General features: G+C 42.2%; 1 protein-coding gene across 7 annotated transcripts in view, besides 1 other annotated feature; it reads right to left on the minus strand.

Moving 5' to 3' along the window:
* IGF2BP3 (insulin like growth factor 2 mRNA binding protein 3) overlaps positions 1-24,758 on the minus strand; it is a 160,283-nt gene that overhangs the window by 3,673 nt on the left and 131,852 nt on the right. For all 7 annotated transcript variants that reach the window (NM_006547.3, XM_011515089.3, XM_047419782.1 and 4 more), the window contains 2 exons: positions 5,257-5,373; positions 3,758-3,832 (listed from right to left, as the gene is read on the minus strand). In NM_006547.3, the coding sequence (NP_006538.2) occupies positions 3,758-3,832; positions 5,257-5,373 (192 nt within the window). The remainder of the gene's footprint in view (positions 1-3,757; positions 3,833-5,256; positions 5,374-24,758) is intronic.
* Positions 21,789-22,083: a silencer, noted in NCBI's record as "tiled region #6228; K562 Repressive non-DNase unmatched - State 15:Elon". NCBI's record gives its function as "represses a minimal TATA promoter and a strong SV40 promoter by Sharpr-MPRA in K562 cells {active_cell/tissue: K562}" and the evidence as "EXISTENCE:reporter gene assay evidence [ECO:0000049][PMID:27701403]".

Genomic DNA, 24,758 nt, shown 5'->3' on the forward strand with positions numbered 1-24,758 from the left:
TAAACCATATTCTTCTGATGAAAACAGTTAAAGGCAATTAATAACCTAATAAAAACGAATTTTTGTGGGCAAATGGCCATTCGTACTAAAATTGTGATAGGTAAAACTTCTCATGCTGGCCATGAGACATCAGTTGCATTTTTCTTTCCTTTTTGTTGGAGTCAGGGTCCTCCTGTTGTCCAGGCTGGAGTGCAATGGTACAATCATAGCTCACTGCAGCTTCAACCTCCTGGGCTCAAGCGATCCTCCTACCTCAGCCTCCTGAGTAGCAGACTACAGGCATGCAACACCACACCTGACTTATTTTTTTTTTTTTTTTGAGACGGAGTCTTACTTTGTTGCCCAGGCTGGAGTGCAGTGGCACGATCTTGGGTCACTGCAACCCCCGCCTCCCAGGTTCAAGTGATTCTCCTGCCTCAGCCTCCTGAGTAGCTGGGACTACAGGCACTAGCCACCACACCTGGCTAATTATTTTTGCATTTTTAGTAGGCATGGGGTTTCACCATGTTGGTCAGGCTGGTCTCGAACTCCTGACTTCAAGTGATGTGCCCACCTCAGCCTTCCAAAAGTGCTAGAATTACAGGTGTGAGCCACTGCGCCACTAATTTTTATAGAGATGGGGGTCTTGCTATGTTGCCACGCTCATCACAAACTCCTGGGCTCAAGAGTCCTGCCTTGGCCTCCCAAAGTGTTGGTATTACCAGTGCAAGCCACCACACCTGGTCACATTTTTTTTGAGCAAAAGAGACAGAACTGCAGAGTCAGCTATGCCAAGCTCACTAAAAGTCAAGCTCACATCTACATGGGCCAGTTAGAAACCTGCTGAGAAAAATGTTTTCAATTTAAATGTGTTTCATACTCTTAGAAAGGTGGTTTTTCCTTTGAATATTTTAAAGAGGCTACAACATCAAGGTAAGACACTTTTTTCTTTTTTGAGACAGAGTCTCACCCTGTCATGCAGGCTGAAGTGCAATGGCATGGTTTCGGCTTACTGCAACCTCCGACCCCCGGGTTCAAGCCATTCTCCTGCCTCAGCCTCCCAAACTAGCTGGGATTACAGGTGCCCGCCACCACACCCAGCTAATTTTTTGTTGTTATTTTAGTTGAGACGGGGATTCACCATGTTGGCCAGGCTGGTCTTGAACTCCTGACCTCAGGTGATCCACCCACCTTGGCTTCCCAAAGTGTTGGGATTATGGGCATGAGCCACTCACTGTGCCCTGCCTTTTATTTTTTTTTATTTTTTTATTTTATTTTTTTTAGAGACAGAGTCTCTTTCTCTGTGGTGCGATCTCAGCACACTGCAACCTCTGTCTCCTGGGTTCAAGTGACTCTCCTGCCTCAGCCTCCTAAGTAGCTGGGATTACAGGCATCCACCACCATGCCTGGCTAATTTTTGTATTTTTAGTAGAGATGGAGTTTTGCCATGTAGGCCAGGCTGGTCTGGAACTCCTGGACTCAAGTGATCTACCCACCTAGGCCTCTCAAAGTGCTGGGATAGCAAGCGTGGGCCACCGCGCCTGGCCAAGACACTTCTGATATTTAGAGTCAATACATCCTATCACCTACTGCATGCAACTATATAAACAACCTATTATATATAAACAACCTATTACATACAGCAAAGCAGAAAGGAGCCTGAGAGTTGGTTTGACAAGCTGCCAGGGTAAACCACAAAAAACAATAGTACCCAACACGCGTTCACTGATTCAGAAAGCTGAGCTCATTTTAGGGCACTACCGACAAAACAAAATTCATCTTGATACCCTATATTCCAATGATCCTTAATGCCTCAGGCCAATGACGTAGATATTACTATTACTTAAGACAGTCAAAAAGACACTAGGGATATACACTATCCTCCAAAACTGAAGCTCTTGAATTTGTAAGGAAAAATACGGGGTAGGTGGTTTACCATTCCTTAGATCTCTAAAGTAAAACATTCATTTAGCATTGTCACCAATCACATAAATAAAATTTAACTACTATGGCTTAAGTGTTACATTTAAGTTAACTATAAAACATGAGTTTTATTAGTGAATACAGGGAAAGAACTTTGAAGTTCCTATCATACAAACATCATAGGAGTTGCAGGACAGTAATTCTACTTATAAGACTAAAAGCTCAGCACCAAGGAAAGACATGTTTGTATTTATCTTTTAAGATTTCAAACTAAAAGTGACCCTGAGAGTTTGGGATAGGAAGCAGTTTTCAACAATTCTGAGTTAAGATTTGAACTGCCTGGATCACAAGGCTGCTGTGAAGGAATAAATTTCTTCACATGATTTTCTTTCTTCACCTAACCACCCACATCTCAAAGCACCTCCTTCGTTTCCCATTCTTCACATAAGTGAAAGCAGCTTTGGGTTTTTAGTGAAAAAATGGCCCAGAGAAAATAGAAGTCAAAGAAAGTGATTTTTTTTGTTTGATTTAAGGGAGAGAGGTGGGGTGGGGAGAGAACTGTATGCACTGTTACTAGTTACTGTTACACTTTAAGGCTAAAAAAACTAAGGCTTGGCCAGGAGCACAGTGGCTGATGCCTGTAATCCCAGCACTTTGGGAGGCTAAGGTGGGCGGATCACTTGAGGTCAGGAGTTTGAGTGTGTGGCCAACATGGTGAAACCCCATCTCTACTAAAAATAAATTGGCTGGGCGTGGCGGCACATGCCTGTAATCCCAGCTACTCGGGAGGCGGAGGCAGGAGAATCGCTTGAACCCAGGAGGTGGAGTTTGCAGTGAGCTGAGATCACGCCACTGCAGTCCAGCCTGGGCGACAGAGTGAGACTCTGTCTCAAAAAAAAAAAAAAAAAAAAGAGAAAAAAAAAACTACAGCTTAAGGTTAAATAGTTGTCTTCTTACACAGCCACTAAATGTTCTAAGACAAGACACCCATACTAAATTTTGTGGGAGAAATCATACACTAAAAGGAATATATTTATGAATTTGGCATGGTCTTAGTCTGATTCATCCATAGTCTGTTGAATACCCCCAGCACGCTAATTTTGTGCTGCCCATGTGTTAGGCACTTTTCTAAACATTTCATATATTGTGTAAACCTTAAACTACCTTAGGATGTAGGTGCTCTTATCCCTGGTTTTACAGAAAAAGGTTAAGTAACTTGCCCAATGTCATACAAGGCAAATGGCAGAGCTAGGATTTGAACTAGCAGCCTGGCTGCCAAGTCTCAGCTCTACCATCTCTCAGTAGACATTGAAAGGCACACTGCAGCCCCAAAGACCTCAAATCCCACTAAACGTGCAATGGTTCATACCAGAACAAATGCTACAAGAGCTCCTGCCATTCCTATCTCTAAGATCCCAGGGATTAGAGAGATTTGTAGAGTCTATGGGCAGGGTCTAACAGAGATAATCCAAGGGTAAGGAAAAAGGGGGCATTTTAATTCAAGTCTAGGCAATCTCAGGGACAGGAGGGAAAACATCTGAAAACAAGTTTCCAAGGCATATTAACCTGGCAGGTTTGTAAATTTTAAGGTCTCACCTTAGCATAGGATTACAAACCATTAAGCAAAATTAACCTTTGAGAGACAGGTAAATCCAGCAACCAGTACAGAACTCTTAAAATTAAAGACTTTTGGTTAATTTCGAAATATAATTTTGAGTGTGATTCTACTCAGCTCTTAGATAAGAATTTCCATTGACTCTTTCTGAGATTTAGACATATTTAAGGGAGACGCCAGGTTATGGACTACCTGTGCATTTGTTACCTGTGGACATAGCACATACTCTAGAGCACATACCTTGAACTGAGCCTCTGGTGGTCCAGTGATAATCACCATCCTCACTTTAGCATCTGGTGCTTCCGCTGGAGCAATCTGTAACAGACCCAACAACAAGTTATGATACTTTCAGGTATCACTGATAGGCATCTTGGGCCAACCAGCCTAACATTTGCATGTGACTGGCTGAAATGCAGAATTAAAGCCTTCGTGAAGGAAATTAGGGAGAGGCAGCAATTCCTGTGGGTTCACAATTTAGGCCTCCCTCCTGCATATACTATATGCTTATTCTGTGCCGGGCCCTAATGGAGACCTCCACGTGCTGTCTCTCAGCTAATCCTCACCACGTCCTGATGAAGTAGTATTACCTCCACTTCACAAATGCGGAAATGGAAGGCTGGAGAAATTGAGTTATCTGGACCATGATCACACAGCTAACAGAGCTAGAGGGAGAGCTGGGTCTGTCTCCATTGCCTGTGTTCACTACACCAGTGGTGCTCAAAGTATGGTCCTTGGCCCACTTGCATCAGGGCTCCTTGGGCTTCCTGTGTATGCAACACACTCTAGGAATCTCTGTACCCTAAGTTTCAAGGATACTGCACACCACATGCCTTTGTTTGTCTGAGGCAGGGTCTTACTGTGTGGCCTAGGCTGGAGTGCAGTGGTGTGATCATAGCTCACTGCAGCCTCAACCACCCAAGCTCAAGTGTTCCTCCCACCTCAGCCTCCCAAGCAGCTGGGACTACAGGTGTGTGCCACCATGCCTGGCTAATTACACTTTTTTTTTTGTAGAGATGGGGTCTCACCATGTTGCACAGTCTGGTCTTCAGCTCCTGGGGTCAAGCAATTTGCCTGCTTTGGCCTCCCAAAGTGCTGGGATTACAGGTGTGAGCCACCGCACCTGGCCAACCTTTATTTTCCTTAAATAAGGCATCAAAATACAGAATCTTCAGAACACACAGTTATCTATTACGGCAGACACCATTATTTGTCCTCTGGTATGTTACCTTCTGTAGTTACAAAATGTTTAGCTGACTGTGCATAGCCTGTATTTTGCCCCTTCAACTTCGTCTGGCCAAGTTCTGGGCAATGGAAATATAGGTAGAAATATCCCACAGTAGCTAACAAGAAACCTCCCTAGAAGAAAAGCTCTTTATTATGTTCTCCTCTCCTACTGGCTGGGCAACAGACCTGATTCCTGGAGCACTGAATGGTGTCAATCTGGAACCAAGAGGGACCAAGGCCGTACCTGGGGAAGGTGGCTTGGAAGGAACTTAGGTCCAAGGACTTGGTGGGGGCAGAGCCAACACCCAGCCCGGATGTTCACCTCCTAACTGTGTTTTCTGCACAGAGAAGTTAGCCTCCTTGGTGTAAGCCACTGTTGTTTGGGGGTTTCTTCATATCCTTATGTAACCCTAACAGTGTCTTTTACATTCTATTCAAATTATAAAGTGGCAAGAAGATTCATATTTCTGTAACTTACTTAAAGAACCAGAGAACCACAGCTGGTAGAACAGTACCTTAATTGAAGCTCCAGCAAAGCGAGAAAGCTGCTTGATGTGCTGGCCCTGCTTGCCGATGATGGCACCGACTGATAGAGCTGGGATAAACAGATGAACAGTCTCCGTTTCTGATTGCTGTTAGAAAAGAAAGCCAGGACACCCATGTTTATTTGCTACAAATCAGGCTTTTGTTAACATTAGCTTTAGGAAGGACACCTTCTCATGCAGTAGGAATACCAGGAAAGTTTAAGGAAAAGCTACCATAAGAAGTTGACCAGACCTTACCTAATAGGTCAAGAAGATCTCATACAGTCATCCTGAAAACAGTGGTATTTAAAATTTCACTTTTCTCTACTGTTGCCTTAAACTTTAAAATGTCACTGAGTTATGGATTTAAAAGATATGTAGATGTTGTAAAGTTTAATCATATTAGAATAGCGGGACATGCTTGCATTAAAAATTAAGTAAGAGCCCCCTACCACTCTCAAGGTAGATTCTTAACAAGTAAATGAAATTCTGGGCTACATATCAAACACAACAGAACTCAAGGACGCCAGCTCCACACCTTATCTATGTAGGTTTCACTCCTTAAACACATACACAGTGAAGTGTTTAAGAGAAAAGCTGAATTTTGTTACATATGACTAAATTGTATGAAACCTTACCACTGTCATTCAATAGTTATCACATCCAAGCACAGGACAGGATTAGGAGAGAGCTAATTCACTTTAGTGGTAAGATGCCCTAAGATGCTTTCCCACAGAATTCCTTATTCCTTCCATCTGTGCCTTCCCTTTGCTTTTTTTTTGAGATGGAATCTCACTCTTGTTGCCCAGACTAGAGTGCAATGGCACGATCTCGGCTCACTGCAACCTCCACCTCCCGGATTCAAGCTACTCTCCTGCCTCAGCTTCCCAAGGAGCTGAGATTACAGGCACTTGTCACCACACCCGGCTAATTTTTTTTTTTTTTTGTAGAGATAGGGTTTCACCATGTTGGCCAGGCTGGTCTTGAACTCCTGACCTCAAATGATCCACCCGCCTTGGCCTCCCAAAGTGCTGGGATTACAGGCGTGAGCCACTGCGCCCAGCCCCCTTTGCATTTTATACATGAAAAAATTAGAAAATATTTTGTAGGCTAACTCCTGAAAGGTCATTCATAAATAGATTTTATCTATGTACCTCATTCCTTCACTACTTCCCACTTCAAGCCAGTTGTGCCCTTCCTGGGTCTCTTTTCAAATAGTCCTTGCAGGGATAAAGGACACATTTGCTCAAGAGTTCACAGTGACTGGGCTCCTAAAAAGGCCAATTCAAGGTTCAAGGTTCAGTAATGCTACCAGTCAACTAACAGTTCTAAAGTACAGAAGCAGTGCACATAATTTATGCATTTTCCACTTTGTTTACCTTCTAACAATATAGTGAGAAAAACACTTCCAAGGATAAGCTAGTTCCAAGACACATATTACAAGAAATAGTTATTGAAATGAGCCACAACTGAAGAAGCCAGTAATATGCTTTTGTTTAAAAAAAAAAAAAAAAAAAAAAGCCAGGCACAGTAGTTCATGCCTGTAATCCCAGCACTTTGGGAGGCCAAGGTGGGTGGACTGCTTGAGCCCAGGAGTTTGAGACCAGCCTGGGCAACATGGCAAAACCCCATCTCTTCAAAAATTACAAAAATTAGCCAGGCATGGTAGCGCTTGCCTGTGGTCCCAGATACTCAGGGGAGGCTGAGATGGGAGGATCACTTGAGCCCAGGTGGTTCAGGATGCAGTGAGCTGAGATCACACCACTGCTCTCCAACCTGGGTGAGAGTGAAACTCTGTCTCAAAAAAAAAAAAAAAAAAAAAAGAAAAAACAAAAAAGAAAAGAAAGGAAAAACCCAGTATGTATACCCAATCAGCAAATGTTTCTAGAAATATTAGAAGATATTTTGTCGGGAGGGAGGAGCCAAGATGGCCAAATAGGAACAGCTCCAGTCTACAGCTCCCAGCGTGAGCGATGCAGAAGACGGGTGATTTCTGCATTTCCATCTGAGGTACTGGGTTCATCTCACTAGGGAGTGCCAGACAGTGGGCGCAGGTCAGTGGGTGCATGCACCATGGGTGAGCCGAAGCAGGGCGAGGCATTGCCTCACTCGGGAAGCGCAAGGGGTCAGGGAGTTCCCTTTCCTAGTCAAAGAAAGGGGTGACAGACGGCACCTGGAAAATCGGGTCACTCCCACATGAATACTGCGCTTTTCCGACGGGCTTAAAAAACGGCACACCAGGAGATTATATCCCGCACCTGGCTCGGAGGGTCGTACGCCCACGGAGTCTCGCTGATTGCTAGCACAGCAGTCTGAGATCAAACTGCAAGGCGGCAGCGAGGCTGGGGGAGGGGTGCCCGCCATTGCCCAGGCTTGCTTAGGTAAACAAAGCAGCCAGGACGCTCGAACTGGGTGGAGCCCACCACAGCTCAAGGAGGCCTGCCTGCCTCTGTAGGCTCCACCTCTGGGGGCAGGGCACAGACAGACAAAAAGACAGCAGTAACCTCTGCAGACTTAAATGTCCCTGTGTGACAGCTTTGAAGAGAGCAGTGGTTCTCCCAGCACACAGCTAGAGCTCTGAGAACGGGCAGACTGCCTCCTCAAGTGGGTCCCTGACCCCTGACCCCCAAGCAGCCTAACTGGGAGGCACCCCCCAGCAGGGGCACACTGACACCTCACAGGGCCGGGTACTCCAACAGACCTGCAGCTGAGGGTCCTGTCTGTTAGAAGGAAAACTAACAAACAGAAGGGACATCCACACCAAAAACCCATCTGTACATCACCGTCATCAAAGACCAAAAGTAGATAAAACCACAAAGACGGGGAAAAAACAGAGCAAAAAAACTGGAAACTCTTAAAAAGCAGAGTGCCTCTCCTTCTCCAAAGGAACACAGTTCCTCACCAGCAACAGAGCAAAGCTGGACGGAGAGTGACTTTGATGAGCTGAGAGAAGGCTTCAGACAATCCAATTACTGTGAGCTACGGGAGGAAATTCAAACCAAAGGCAAAGAAGTTGAAAACTTTGAAAAAAGTTTAGAAGAATGTATAACTAGAATAACCAATACACAGAAGTGCTTAAAGGAGCTGATGGAGCTGAAAACCAAGGCTCGAGAACTACGTGAAGAATGCAGAAGCCTCAGGAGCCGATGTGATCAACTGGAAGAAAGGGTATCAGCGATGGAAGATGAAGTGAATGAAATGAAGCAAGAAGGGAAGTTTAGAGAAAAAAGAATAAAAAGAAACGAGCAAAGCCTCCAAGAAATATGGGACTATGTGAAAAGACCAAATCTACGTCTGACTGGTGTACCTGAAAGTGACGGGGAGAATGGAACCAAGTTGGAAAACACTCTGCAGGATATTATGCAGGAGAACTTCCCCAATCTAGCAAGGCAGGCCAACATTCAGATTCAGGAAATACAGAAAACGCCACAAAGATACTCCTCGAGAAGAGCAACTCCAAGACACATAATTGTCAGATTCACCAAAGTTGAAATGAAGGAAAAAATGTTAAGGGCAGCCAGAGAGAAAGGTCGGGTTACCCACAAAGGGAAGCCCATCAGACTAACAGCAGATCTCTCAGCAGAAACTCTACAAGCCAGAAGAGAGTGGGGGCCGATATTCAACATTCTTAAAGAAAAGAATTTTCAACCCAGAATTTCATATCCAGCCAAACTAAGCTTCATAAGTAAAGGAGAAATAAAATCCTTTACAGGCAAGCAAATGCCGAGAGATTTTGTCACCACCAGGCCTGCCCTAAAAGAGCTCCTGAAGGAAGCGCTAAACATGGAAAGGAACAACCGGTACCAGCCACTGCAAAATCATGCCAAAACGTAAAGACCATCAAGACTAGGAAGAAACTGCATGAACTAACGAGCAAAATAACCAGCTAACATCATAATGACATGATCAAATTCACACATAACAATATTAACTTTAAATGTAAATGGACTAAATGCTCCAATTAAAAGACACAGACTGGCAAATTGGATAAAGAGTCAAGACCCATCAGTGTGCTGTATTCAGGAAACCCATCACGTGCAGACACACACATAGGCTCAAAATAAAAGGATGGAGGAAGATCTACCAAGCAAATGGAAAACAAAAAAAGGCAGGGGTTGCAATCCCAGTCTCTGATAAAACAGACTTTAAACCAACAAAGATCAAAAGAGACAAAGAAGGCCATTACATAATGGTAAAGGGATCAATTCAACAAGAAGAGCTAACTATCCTAAATATATATGCACCCAATACAGGAGCACCCAGATTCATAAAGCAAGTCCTGAGTGACCTACAAAGAGACTTAGACTCCCACACATTAATAATGGGAGACTTTAACACCCCACTGTCAACATTAGACAGATCAACGAGACAGAAAGTCAACAAGGATACCCAGGAATTGAACTCAGCTCTGCACCAAGCAGACCTAATAGACATCTACAGAACTCTCTACCCCAAATCAACAGAATATACATTTTTTTCAGCACCACACCACACCTATTCCAAAACTGACCACATACTTGGAAGTAAAGCTCTCCTCAGCAAATGTAAAATAACAGAAATTAAAACAAACTATCTCTCTGACCACAGTGCAATCAAACTAGAACTCAGGATTAAGAAACTCACTCAAAACTGCTCAACTACATGGAAACTGAACAACCTGCTCCTGAATGACTACTGGGTACATAACGAAATTAAGGCAGAAATAAAGATGTTCTTTGAAACCAACGAGAACAAAGACACAACATACCAGAATCTCTGGGATGCATTCAAAGCAGTGTGTAGAGGGAAATTTATAGCACTAAATGCCCACAAGAGAAAGCAGGAAAGATCCAAAATTGACACCCTAACATCACAATTAAAAGACCTAGAAAAGCAAGAGAAAACACATTCAAAAGCTAGCAGAAGGCAAGAAATAACTAAAATCAGAGCAGAACTGAAGGAAATAGAGACACAAAAAACCCTTGAAAAAATTAACGAATCCAGGAGCTGGTTTTTTGAAAGGATCAACAAAATTGATAGACTGCTAGCAAGACTAATCAAGAAAAAAAGAGAGAAGAATCAAATAGACACAATAAAAAATGATAAAGGGGATATCACCACCGATCCCACAGAAATACAAACTACCATCAGAGAATACTACAAACACCTCTACGCAAATAAACTAGAAAATCTAGAAGAAATGGATAAATTCCTCGACACATACACCCTCCCAAGACTAAGCCAGGAAGAAGTTGAATCTCTGAATAGACCAATAACAGGAGCTGAAATTGTGGCAATAATCAATAGCTTACCAACCAAAAAGAGTCCAGGACCAGATGGATTCACAGCCGAATTCTACCAGAGGTACAAGGAGGAACTGGTACCATTCCTTCTGAAACTATTCCAATCAATAGAAAAAGAGGGAATCCTCCCTAACTCATTTTATGAGGCCAGCATCATCCTGATACCAAAGCCGGGCAGAGACACAACCAAAAAAGAGAATTTTAGACCAATATCCTTGATGAACATTGATGCAAAAATCCTCAATAAAATACTGGCAAACCGAATCCAGCAGCACATCAAAAAGCTTATCCACCATGATCAAGTGGGCTTCATCCCTGGGATGCAAGGCTGGTTCAATATACACAAATCAATAAATGTAATCCAGCATATAAACAGAACCAAAGACAAAAACCACATGATTATCTCAATAGATGCAGAAAAGGCCTTTGACAAAATTCAACAACCCTTCATGCTAAAAACTCTCAATAAATTAGGTATTGATGGGACGTATCTCAAAATAATAAGAGCTATCTATGACAAACCCACAGCCAATATCATACTGAATGGGCAAAAACTGGAAGCATTCCCTTTGAAAACTGGCACAAGACAGGGATGACCTCTCTCACCACTCCTACTCAACATAGTGTTGGAAGTTCTGGCCAGGGCAATCAGGCAGGAGAAGGAAATAAAGGGTATTCAATTAGGAAAAGAGGAAGTCCAATTGTCCCTGTTTGCAGATGACATGATTGTATATCTAGAAAGCCCCATTGTCTCAGCCCAAAATCTCCTTAAGCTGATAAGCAACTTCAGCAAAGTCTCAGGATACAAAATCAATGTACAAAAATCACAAGCATTCTTATACATCAATAACAGACAAACAGAGAGCCAAATCATGAGTGAACTCCCATTCACAATTGCTTCAAAGAGAATAAAATACCTAGGAATCCAACTTACAAGGGATGTGACGGACCTCTTCAAGGAGAACTACAAACCACTGCTCAATGAAATAAAAGAGGATACAAACAAATGGAAGAACATTCCATGCTCATGGGTAGGAAGAATCAATATCGTGAAAATGGCCATAGTGCCCAAGGTAATTTACAGATTCAATGCCATCCTCATCAAGCTACCAATGACTTTCTTCACAGAACTGGAAAAAACTACTTCAAAGTTCATACAGAACCAAAAAAGAGCCCGCATTGCCAAGTCAATCCTAAGCCAAAAGAACAAAGCTGGAGGCATCACACTACCTGACTTCAAACTATACTACAAGGCTACAGTAACCAAAACAGCATGGGACTGGTACCAAAACAGAGATATAGATCAATGGAACAGAACAGAACAGAGCCCTCAGAAATAACACCGCGTATCTACAACTATCTAATCTTTGACAAACCTGAGAAAAACAAGCAATGGGGAAAGGATTCCCTATTTAATAAATGGTGCTGGGAAAACTGGCTAGCCATATGTAGAAAGCTGAAACTGGATCCCTTCCTTACACCTTATACAAAAATCAATTCAAGATGGACTAAAGACTTAAACGTTAGACCTAAAACCATAAAAACCCTAGGCATTACCATTCAGGACATAGGCATGGGCAAGGACTTCATGTCTAAAACACCAAAAGCAATGGCAACAAAAGCCAAAATTGACAAATGGGATCTAATTAAACTAAAGAGCTTCTGCACAGCAAAAGAAACTACCATCAGAGTGAACAGGCAACCTACAGAATGGGAGAAAATTTTCGCAACCTACTCATCTGACAAAGGGTTAATATCCAGAATCTACAATGAACTCAAACAAATTTACAGGAAAAAAACAAATAACCCCATCAAAAAGTGGGCCAAGGACATGAACAGACACTTCTCAAAAGAAGACATTTATGCAGCCAAAACACACATGAAAAAATGCTCACCATCACTGGCCATCAGAGAAATACAAAGCAAAACCACAGTGAGATACCATCTCACACCAGCTAGAATGGCAATCATTAAAAAGTCAGGAAACAACAGGTGCTGGAGAGGATGTGGAGAAATAGGAACACTTTTACACTGTTGGTGGGACTGTAAACTAGTTCAACCATTGTGGAAGTCAGTGTGGCAATTCCTCAGGGATCTGGAACTAGAAATACCATTTGACCCAGCCATCCAATCACTGGGTATATACCCAAAGGACTATAAATCATGCTACTATAAAGACACATGCACACGTATGTTTATTGCGGCATTATTCACAATAGCAAAGACTTGGAACCAACCCAAATGTCCAACAATGATAGACTGGATTAAGAAAATGTGGCACATATACACCATGGAATACTATGCAGCCATAAAAAATGATGAGTTCATGTCCTTTGTAGGGACATGGATGAAATTGGAAATCATCATTCTCAGTAAACTATCGCAAGAACAAAAAACCAAACACCGCATATTCTCACTCATAGGTGGGAATTGAACAATGAGAACACATGGACACAGGAAGGGGAACATCACACTCTGGGGACTGTTGTGGGGTGGGGGGAGGGGGGAGGGATAGCACTGGGAGATATACCTAATGCTAGATGACGAGTTAGTGGGTGCAGGGCACCAGCATGGCACATGTATACATATGTAACTAACCTGCACATTGTGCACATGTACCCTAAAACTTAAAGTATAATAAATAAATTAATTAATTAATTAATTAAAAAAGAAGATATTTTGTCTTACACAACTTAGACATGAACTACTTGATAAACACTTTCATGGGATTCTCTTGAATCTTAGATTCCTATTGCATAATACTATAAATTCAGCTCCCAAGTACTCAAGTTAACCCATCAGTACTGTAGTATGTATACACACAGCCATAAGACAGATCCTAATTTCTAATTTTTTTTTTTTTTTTTTTTGAGACGGAGTCTCGCTCTGTGGCCCAGGCTGGAGTGCAGTGGCGCAATCTCGGCTCACTGCAAGCTCCGCCTCCCGGGTTCACGCCATTCTCCTGCCTCAGCCTCCCGAGTAGCTGGGACTACAGGCGCCCACCATCACGCCCGGCTAATTTTTTTGTATTTTTAGTAGAGACGGGGTTTCACCGTGTTAGCCAGGATGGTCTCGATCTCCTGACCTCGTGATCCGCCCGCCTCGGCCTCCCAAAGTGCTGGGATTACAGGCGTGAGCCACCGCACCCGTCCTGAAATTCTTAAAAAGTCTCAAACAACCGCAGAGCAACAGTTTTGCTTTCAAAAATCTCAGGAACTAGGTAGAAATCTTTAAAATTTTAAGCCGTTTTCAAAAATCAGCCAAAGAAAACAGTAACACTGGGCTCTGACAGCTTTACTAGATGTAGAAACCAATTTGTGCCATTTAATGTCGGACTACCAAATGACATCACTCTTCCCACATGGAGATCACTAGTGGCACTAATGGTTCCACCTTTTTCCTGTGAGCCCAGAGCAGAGGCAAAGAGCAGAGCACTAAGCACCATAAATCCATGGAGAGATACTGATCACCAACGGCAGAACCCCACATCAGACACACAGGCCGTGCCACTCGCTTGTCCCCCAATGCAGACTTACCAGGAGGCCATTCCGTAGGTCACAGTTTACTCACCCTGTTTGGTAGGAATTTTAATCGTGTTTATTTAAATCTGAGAGTCTCTTTGTCTCTCTAGACGCCCACCTATGACACAGGTGAAAAATCAATCCCACTCAAAAGTAGTTGGGCTGTATCCTTTCTGCTACCTCATTTGTTTACATTTTTCAAGAAAAATCTCAACTACTATCATCTTAAATCTTTAAAGGAAAAATTCAGTTAATTGTTTCCTTTTTTTCTTTTTTTGAGACAGAGTCTTGCTCTGTCTCCCAGGCTGGAGTGTAGTGGCACAATCTTGGCTCACTGCAACCTCCACCTCCTGGGTTCAAGCGATTCTTCTGCTTCAGCCTCCTGAGTAGCTGGGATTACAGGCGTGTGCCACCATGCCCAGCTAACTTTTGTCTTTTTAGTAAAATTGGGTTTCACCATACTGGTCAGGCTGGTCTCCAACTCCTGACCTCAGGTGATCCACTGCGCCTGGCCCTTAACTACTTTTTTTAAACAACTTTAAGCCTTTGGTTTCCTCTGAAGAAAATATTTTTAACAAAAACACTCCAGAAATAACAAAAGGGCTGGTTCTTTGAATATAAGGAATAACTTTTGCCTATTTTCCAATAAAATTGAAATGGGAAAGGATAACTGGACAAGAGAAAAATTAAAGTACAACAATGTGCTAACAAATCTGAAAATAGCAAGAATTTGTCTAGGAATTACCAAGGTTAATCACAAAAACTTATACATGACCAAGTAATTTAGACCTCTACAATCAACTACCTACCTAACCTAAAGTAAGTGCTATACCCAAACAGCTTCAGTACTTCGTTCTTTCAAGCCAAATGCTCAAGAAGAATGACAGAAGCCCAGTGAAAAGACAGACATGGAAAACCAGAAAGGTCAGGCAGACATATTCTATGAGTAAAAAAAATGTAGTAAAAATTTAAAACAAGAGCCGGGCGCGGTGGCTCATGCCTGTAATCCCAGCACTTTGGCAGGCTGAGGCAGGAGGATCACGAGGTCCGGAGATCGAGACCATCCTGGCTAACACCGTGAAACCCCGTCTCTGCTAAAAAAGAAATACAAAAATTAGCTGGGTGTGGTGGCGGGCACCTGTAGTCCCAGCTACTCGGGAGGCTGAGGCAGGAGAATGGCATGAACCCGGAAGGTGGAGCTTGCAGTGAGCAGAGATCACGCCATTGCACTCCAGCCTGGGCGACAGAGCAAGACTCCGTCTCAAAAAAAAAAAAAATTAAAACAAGGAATGGATACAATAAATAACATCCTAATTTGCTTTTTTACCTTAACTTGGATATCTTTTTTCACTCAAACGTCCCTACTGCATTTTGACAAGAGTATTCCCTCAAATAGATATACCACAGTTGATTTACCTCACCTACAGTGTGTGTGCATAGTTTCCAACTTCAATGTTTCAATAAAATCTTTGTACATAAAATTTGTGCCCTGTTTGAATACCTCTACTGCAACACGTTCTTAGAAGTAGAACTGCTGAGTCAAAAGGGCCTGAACATTTAAAATTGGTAAATATTAAATTCCCATACAAAAAGGCCCCTGCTCAGTCTATGGAATTCTAGTTATTCCATTCCAGTAGGACTCCAGTTAATACATTTATGATACCTTTGAATACTGCCTTTGTTTTCACATAAGAGTAGTGGAGATGGGTAAAAAGCATGCTGAGATAAAAATTCAGGTTGAGGCAAAAATAACTTTGACAAGGGTGAGTGTATGCAGCAGCCATGTGGCAAGATCAGTTTGGGTCTCCTCTGTGTGAGGTGCTGTGCATGACCTCATTTGTACCCCACAACAGATCCAATTTCTAGAAACTAACAACATTCTCATTTTAGAATTGAAAAAACTGAGCCAGAGAGGTTAAGTTATTTGCCTGAAGTCACACACCACCTGGTGGAGCCACGATTCAAACCTGGGTTTCTCTATCTCCTAAGCCAGATTCATAAACCAGTATGAAGCTCTCAATGGGTATAGATATGCTTTAAAATACAGCCAGAGCTGCCAGGCACGGTGGCTCACGCCTGTAATCCCAGCACTTTGGGAAGGCCGAGGTGGGCAGATCACAAGGTCAGGAGTTCGACACCAGCCTGGCCAACATAGTAAAACCCCATCTCCACTGAAAATACAAAAAATAAGCCAGGCATGGTGGCAGGCACCTGTAATCCCAGCTACTCGAGAGGCTGAGGCAGGAGAATGGCTTGAACCTGGGAGGCGGAGGCTACAGTGAGCAGAGATCACACCATTGCACTCCAGCCCGGGTGACAGTACAAGACTCTGTCTCAAAAAAATAAAATAAAATAATGTATAATATTTATACAATATATATTTATATAATATTTATATTATATATATATTTCTCTAGAGCTGTCAAAAATATACATGAAAGCTTTAAAGAAAAGTGCCCACTAGAACTGTCACTCGAGGGGCTGCCTTCCCCTCTCCTCTCACAAGTCCCTTGATTGGCCTTGGTATGACTTCCTGTGAGTCAAAAGAAATTTCTTTTGCGTAGTTGGCAAAAGCTTAAACCTATGATCATCAAAATGCTAAAAAGGGCATCCAGAGACAGTCAGTTATTTTTATTTTGAAAAATAGGGGTGGACTGAAGATTAAGAACTGAAAGCAACAACTGAAAGCAAGCAATGTTGGCCGGGCTGGTCTTGAACTCCTGACCTCAGGTGATCCGCCCGCCTTGGCCTCCCAGAGTGCTGGAATTACTCAGGTAGTTCTTTATAGCGGTGTGAAAACAGACTAATATATACTAGACATACGGTCTAGAATCATACATTGCTTTTTCTTGTTTTTTCTGAGACGGAGTCTTGCTCTTTTGCCCAGGCTGGAGTGCAGTGGCACAATCTCGGCTCACTGCAACTGCAACCTCCGCCTTCCAAGTTCAAGCTATTCTCCTGCCTCAGCCTCCCGAATAGCTGGAATTACAGGTGCACACCACCATGCCCGGCTAATTTTTGTATTTTTTAGTAGAGATGGGGTTTTACCATGTTGGCCAGGCTGGTCTCAAATGCCTGACCTCAAGTGATCCGCCCACCTCAGCCTCCCAAAGTGTTGGGATTACAGGCATGAGCCACTGCGCCCGGCTGCTTTATTTTTCATAAAAGTGAAAGGCATGATTTATACTAAGATGATTTCTTCCTTTCTTTAATAAATTTATTGACCATAAAATACATGTACTACCATGATGATTTGGGACCATGATGATTTGGAACTGTCTGTCAATTTTAAAAGTTTGTGCTCTTTGACTTAGAAGTTCTATTACATAAATTCTTAGAAGTATTTGTACCAAGGCACAGAAGTTTATGTTTAAAAATTTGATTGCATCATTACATGAATTAGTGAAAAATGGAAAACTGAACTTTCTGAAAATCTTTATAAAGCACCTTCAGATATAGCTAAATAACTGTCAGGTGAAGATAAAGGAATTGAAACTTTTAAGTTGCAAAGTATCTTAAACGTGCATAAGATGGGTGTGTACAGATGAGACAGAGTGAGACTCTGTCTCAAAAACAAAAACAAAAAACAAACAAAAAAAGAACTACCCAAGAATGGGTAATTTATAAAGAAAAGGAGTTTAGACTCACCCCTGTAATCCTAACACTTTGGAAGGCCAAGGTGGGTGGATCACCTGAGGTCAGGAGTTCGAGACCAACCTGGGCAACATGGTGAAACCCCGTCTCTACTGAAAATACAAAAATTAGCTGGGCGTGGTGGCGTGTGCCTGTAGTCCCAGCTACTCGGGAGGCTGAGGCAGGAGAACTGCTTGAACCTGGGAGGCAGAGGTTGCAGTGAGCTGAGATTGTGCCACTGCACTCCAGCCTGGGTGACAGAGCGAAACTGTCTCAGAAAAAAAAAAAAAAGAAAAAAAAAAGGAGTTTAATTGACTCAGTTGGCTGGGCAGGCCTCAAAAAACTTACAATCGTGGCGGAAGACAAATGGGTAACAAGGTACGTCTTACTTGGCGGCAGGAGGGAGAGAGAGAGAGTAAGGGATGGGGCAAGTGTCACACCTTTAAACCCTTAGATTTCATGAGAACTCACTATCACAAGAACAGCAAGGGGGAAATCCGCCCCCATGATCCAATCACCTCCCACTGACAAGTGGGAATTACAATTCAAGATGAGATTTGGGTGGGGACACAGCCAAACCATATCAACTAGTTTCCTACAAATGAAAATCACTTAAACTCTATTGTCTCTTCCTTTATATCTTCAATCCCCATCATGTACCTCTTATTTATGTAAGAGTTAACCCAAAATTCAATTCATCATCTCTAATCACCCACCCATCTCTAATCATTTGTTTCTTCAGCACCTGTATAAACAGATGTACTAAATTTGTACCATATTGTTTACAACTTGGCAAAGTTCTCTGGCATACTCCATGTTTTCTAGGATAATGTAACACACTGCAAGTATTAATATAGCTGTTAGCTAAATGAAATCTCCCTTCTGGCTATTCAGCATTTTTAGAACACATACATCAGAAGAAGACTTGCCTTCCTACTAAACTATTATGTGGAGATTTGTGTTAGGGGCCTGTCCTGCACAGCTTGGCCAGATCACTTCTGTTTCTCTTCACCAACAAAGAACACAAAATAAAATTATTTCATTCTTCACTATTTAAGTCAGAAGAACAGCATCTCTCTTTGGAAGATACTATATAACTCACAGCCCCCAGTGTGTCACACAATTACCATGTGTCATTTATCCCTTTATGGCCTTTTTTATTTTATAACTGGATAGACCAAGTGAATTAATGCCAACACTGACTATCAACTGTGCTCAATGTTAGCATTACTTCATCATTCTGGTCCTTGTATCAAGACCATTAAGTTAATCTTGACCATTTTAAAAAAAATTAAGGGTGGGATCTAAATATTTTATCTCACTAAGAATGTCCGTATTATGTTCTTCTGAACAATATACTTGGGGGAAGCTGGTGGTGATAAAGACCTTTTCAATGGTCAAACTAAACCTAATGTGTAACTTTCCCAGATTTACCCCACAGTATTTTGTCATGACTGTGTAATTATTTGTTTCCTGGGCTTTGTTCCAAAAAGAATTTTATGCTGCTTATAAAATACACATAATCTGTAAAGATAAAACAAAGGAGGTGAAGAAATAAGAGCATAGGGAACTGAACACTCAAGATAAGATGAAGCCAAAAATGCTGTTATACAAATCTGGCTTTAAGCTTCCTCGCAGCTAATTTTTTAAAAAGTTAGTTGCATGATTTCCCATGACTATGAGAGAAAAACTATTCATTTACTTATTAAAAAATGACTATTCCTGGTACTGGTTTCAGAGAGCAATTCCTAAATATCCCCAGAGAACACTAATGTAGCAGCATCCTCCTCAGAGTGAAAGCCTGGCCCGAACATGCATGTGTCTTAGCCTGGAACACGTCCAAGGCTGCTGTTGTGAGAAACAAAAACAAAGTTATCTTTCTGACATAGTGATGAAGGGCTGTCCATGTTCTTGTTTTGCTGATGAGAAATAACAAACCCAAAATGAAGCTTAAGCATAAACTTAAGAGAAATGTTGTGTGAAGCTTTGGAAAAGGAATAGTGGCCAGTAGATAAGGGTCAAAAGGACCAAAATGTAACAGAAAAAAAGGGCACATACATGAAGAATCAATGTGTAGACTTTAAAATGTCCTATCCTGGAATGAAAACAGAAGCAACAGAACTTGTCAAATAGAAGCAGCAGAGTTAGAAGCAAACTAAGTGTTTTTCCACACCAGGAGATGCTGCCCTAGAATGACAGACAATGATGTGTGCTGTTGGCAATCATGTCTTGAAGAAAAGTTGACTCATCAGATGTCTGAGGCTTGGTGAAGACATTTCTGAACGTCGTCCAATTCCCTTTGCTCCAATTTCCTATCCATGAAGCATCTTCTTAACCAAAGATTACTTTTCAAGAAAATTTTCCTCTGGGAATGTAAGGCAGCTCACATAAATATGCTGTCAACTTTTGCCAATCATTAAATTGGCTCTCTGGTACACTTCATTCTTATATGGGATTCAGAATAAGCCATGAGCCGGGTGCTGTGGTTCACGCCTGTACTCCCAGCACTTTGGAAGGCTGAGGCGGGCGGATCCCTTGAGGTCAGGAGTTCGAGACCAGCTGGGCTGATATGATGAAACCCCATCTCTACTAAAAGTACAAAAATTAGCTGGGCACGTGACTGTAATTCCAGCTACTCAGGAGGCTGAGGCAGGAGAATCGCTCGAATCTGGGAGGTGGAGGTTACAGTGAGCCAAGATCATGACACTGCACTCCAGAGCCTGGGCAACAGAGCGAGACTCTGTCTCAAAAAATAAAAAAGAAAAGAAATCGAGACTAAAATAAGCCTATGCTAGAACAAGCCTGTGTCAGGATTTGGACACCCCAAATAGGCAGATAATTTAAATTTTTACTTGCAAAACTCAGCAGGCAGAGCAAAAGTTATAAGCCTTTTTCACCTGAATTTAAGTCTATGAGACCTAGGTTGGAAAAGGCCCATTAGCGTTACCCAGTCTTGTTACACATTCCTTCCATTTAAGTTAAGGTCTAGTTGCATTGTCTGAACCTTTTCTTGGATACATTCTTTGGGACTGAAGGATGTTCACAGGACATAAGCTGCTTCCCAATGGATTTGTGCCAGATGCCTATCGGCAAAACTTCCTTTGGACTTCTTGGCAGACTCTCAACTACGGCTTGAAATAACAGAAGAACAAAGCTGCTCAACTGAAAGTTTGCATAACTGGTGAAGTCTGCCAATGAGTAATTCCTAATCATCTATCGTGAAGACATACAAGTATGAGCAAACAGTAAGGTTAAGTGTATTTACTTTGTGGGGGACAAAATCTAAGACATCACAAAGGCATGGAGACATGCATGTCAGCCAACATGATCAGCCTCCAGGTACCTGGAAGGATGCCACGGTTTCCCTTTGGCTTGTAAAATAGATACTCCTGGGTTTTTTTGTTGTTGTTTTTAAATGGATTTTGGTCTGGAACTGAAACTAAGTTTACTCAACTCCATGACCTGAACAAAATATTGAAGTCTTTAACATTAAAAAAAAAAAAAAAAAAAAAAAGGCAAAGAAAGTTTTTCACCATAACTAGATAACCAAGGCTTCTCAGAGATAATAAATGTGCACAGTGAGTTACTTACTTAGAAATTGTTTACCAACAAAAGAGTTGCACCCACTGTGAGAAATCTTAAGGAGGAAGACTAAGAGACTCCCTGAAACACTCATCTGATTTAAAAAATTCCTTCCAACTCATAATTTTTTTTTTTTTGGACAAGGTCTCACTCTGTCACCCAGGCTGGAGTGCAGTGGCTCAATCACGGATCACTGCAGCCTTGACCTCCCTGGGCTCAGGTGATCTTCCTACTTTAGCCTTCCAAGTAGCTGGGATAGGCAAAGGCCACCACCCCCGGCTAATCTAAAAAAGTTTTTTTTTTTTTGTAGAGACAGAGTTCTCCCTATGTTGCCCAGCCTGATCTCAAGCAATCCTCTTACCTTGGCCTCCCAAAGTGCTGGGATTACAGGCATAAACCACCGCGCCTGGCCCTTTGTTTCTTAAAGAGTACCTTAAGCCTAAAAAAGTGCTAATCTCTCTTGCCTCTTTCATAAGCAGAAAGCTAGCCATTTTAAGATTACACTATCATTTTGGAGACTTCTGAGAAGACTCCAAAGAGGCTATCAAAACTGAAGCCAGCAGCCCTTGGGATTACTTCTGCCAATCCAACTGTATGCTGCCAAGACCATCCAGCTAAGGCGACACGCACTATGCCAATTCCAGCTCTTGCTCTGCTTCACTAGCTGCCAATTCCTTCTTCCCTACTGTTTGAGCATTTCTGAAAGGCGCGTTTCCTGTCATTTATAAACTCGAAGTTTGCCAGTTAAGTACTGTACGAGCCAGCTGCTAGGCAGGAACTAGAGACTTTTTGTCTGTTGGAAGAACCAACTCTTTGGCTCTGGGGAGACTCAACCTGGCAAGTTCTGGGAAGAAGAGAATATTGTGGGGGAACTAGTAGGCAAAGTTCTAGAATGGAATAGAGGCAAGGGATTTATCCAAAGAAGAGATGCATCATTTCTACTTTCATGCTACAAAGCAGGAATGAGAAAACATGAGTAGAGAAATGCAACAATTCTAAAAGAAAAAGGAAGTAGTATATATTAAAAAAAAAAAATTATTTGAAACATTTAGCCATCAAAACCTACTTCTTGACAGGCAATATACATTTAAAATAAAAGCAGAAGTTCACTGTTAACCTACAAGACATCAAGGATAAACACGATCTTAGTACGTAATCTGTGATAGCTTCAAAGGAACAGCAAGCTTCTCATCAGCAAGTATAGATACCAGAATGCAGTTCAGGAACAGTTTAAAAGTGCTGAGAGCAAAATGCCCGTCCATCTTTAACTTTCTAAACCATTTTTTTTTTTTTTTAAATAACATCATAGACCCTCACAAACATAAAACAGTATGTTCTTTTTTTCTCTTCTTTTTTTTTGAGACAGAGTCTTGCTTAGTCACCCAGGCGGGAGTGCAGTGGCACGATCTCGGCTCATTGCAACCTCCACCTCCTCGGCTCATCGCAACGCCTGGTTGTTATCATTGCTTCTTTTTGGCTTCATTTTTCTTGCTAAAGAATAGGCCGGCTGCAGTGGCTCACGTCTGTAATCCCAGCACTTTGGGAGGCCGAGATGGGTGGATCACTTGAGGTCAGGAATTCGAGACCAGCCTGGCAAACATGGTAAAACCCTGTCTCTAATAAAAATACAAAAATTAACCAGGCATGGTGCTGCGCACTTGTAATCCCAGCTACTCGGGAGGCTGAGGTATGAGAATCACTTGAACCCAGGATGCGGAGTTTGCAGTGAACCGAGATTGCGCCACCACACTCCACCCTGGGTGACAGGGCAAGACTCTGTCTCCAAAAGAAAAAAAAAAAAGAAGCAATGATAAGCAAAGAAACTGGTAAAGCTTTGGGAAATTTACTGCCTTTAAAAACAATAGTTTATTTGTATTTCAAAAAGTGGTGACCACTAGGTACACAAAATAGTTAAGTATTAGTGATTTCGGTTTAGAAAAAGAACAAAGTCTAAAAATAGTGAAGGCAAAGCTATTCCAACTGAGTACTTGCAACCACCCCCCACCCCCTGCAACTTGAAGTTATATACTCAAACAACACTTGTTAAAGAATTGTTCCCCTGAACATTAAGCCAGAAAATTGCCTAGCAGCTGTTTGAAAGTAGAATTTACTCTAATTGTATCCAGGGACAATATGATTTTCTGAATAATGGTGTTTTCTCTTTATTTAGATGAAAATAACCACAGGAATGGGAATCTGGAATATGGAATTTTCTCCTCCAGAATTTAGATTCTGCTTTTTGAGAGAACTTAAAAGCTTGCTTCCTCTCTTCCAGGCTCTGGGAGGCTCCTTTAACAGGCAATAGTGCCAAATCCAGTGAAGCAGACAAATAGCTGTCCCCAACATGTATTTTCCTTTAGTAACAGATCCTGTGTTTAATGGGCACATTGCTGCCCTCACACAGGGATTGTCTCCCAGCTTCTCTTGCAGCTAGACACAGCCAGTGGTATGTTCTGGCCAACATGAGGCAAACAGAAGTATGAAAAGCTATCCTCAGGCAGTGTCCTTAAATAAGGATGCTGCCAATTTTGATCCTTTATCCTTTTTTCAGTTTGAAATGAGGTCTCACCACATTGCCCAGGCTGGACTGAAATTCCTGGGCTCAAGCAATCCTCCCACCTCCGCCTCCCCAGTAGCTGGGACTACAGGTGTCTGTCACCACATCCAGCAATCCTTTATCCTTCTTGTTGGCTGGAAACAGACCCAATAGTTGGAGCTTGAGCAGTTATCCTGGGCCAGGGAATGGCACACAAGGCAGATAGAAGCACCAGTCCTGAAGGATATGGTGGAACCACTTCCAGCCTTGGATTGTCTACCCTTGAACTCTTCTCATGAAAAAGGAAAACGAATTTAAGCCATTTTTTTTTCTAGTAACAATACATACCCAAACCTAATCCTGATACATGTAGTATGCCAAAATAGAGTTAGAAGGGTAAAAACAGACATAACGGCAACATCCCACAGAGGTTTTTGGCATGATATTTCCTACGAGTTGGGATGGCAGGTGGTCCAGAGAGAAAGAGGTGAGTTTTTTTTCACTCTTCAAAGCATAGAACAAGGTAGAAAAAGGGATATACACAACTAGTATGTATTTGTGCTTATCCTGAACTTTTTCTCCCTTGCAATTGGTACTGATAGAAACTGTTCTTTTCAACATTGAAGCGCCCCTCCAAAGACTAGTAAACATTCTTTGTAGAACAGAAGTTCTTAGCTGGGCGTGATGGTGTGTGCCTGTAGTCCCAGCTACTTGGGAGTCAGAGGTGGGAGGATCACTTGCACCCAGGAGTTCAATTCCAGCCTGGGCAACATAGTGAGTCCCCATCTCTTGAAAAGAACAGTTCCTGACAATAAACGGGTAGCATAAAACTCCTGATGACCTTTATGAAACTACACATTTTTGAGCTTCCACCTGCTCCCACTGAGATTTTTATTTATTTAAGTGGGACACAAGTTCTTAACTAATCAAACAGTTGTT

This window comes from Homo sapiens, chromosome 7 (genome assembly GCF_000001405.40).
Source record: "Homo sapiens chromosome 7, GRCh38.p14 Primary Assembly".
Lineage (NCBI taxonomy): Eukaryota > Metazoa > Chordata > Mammalia > Primates > Hominidae > Homo > Homo sapiens.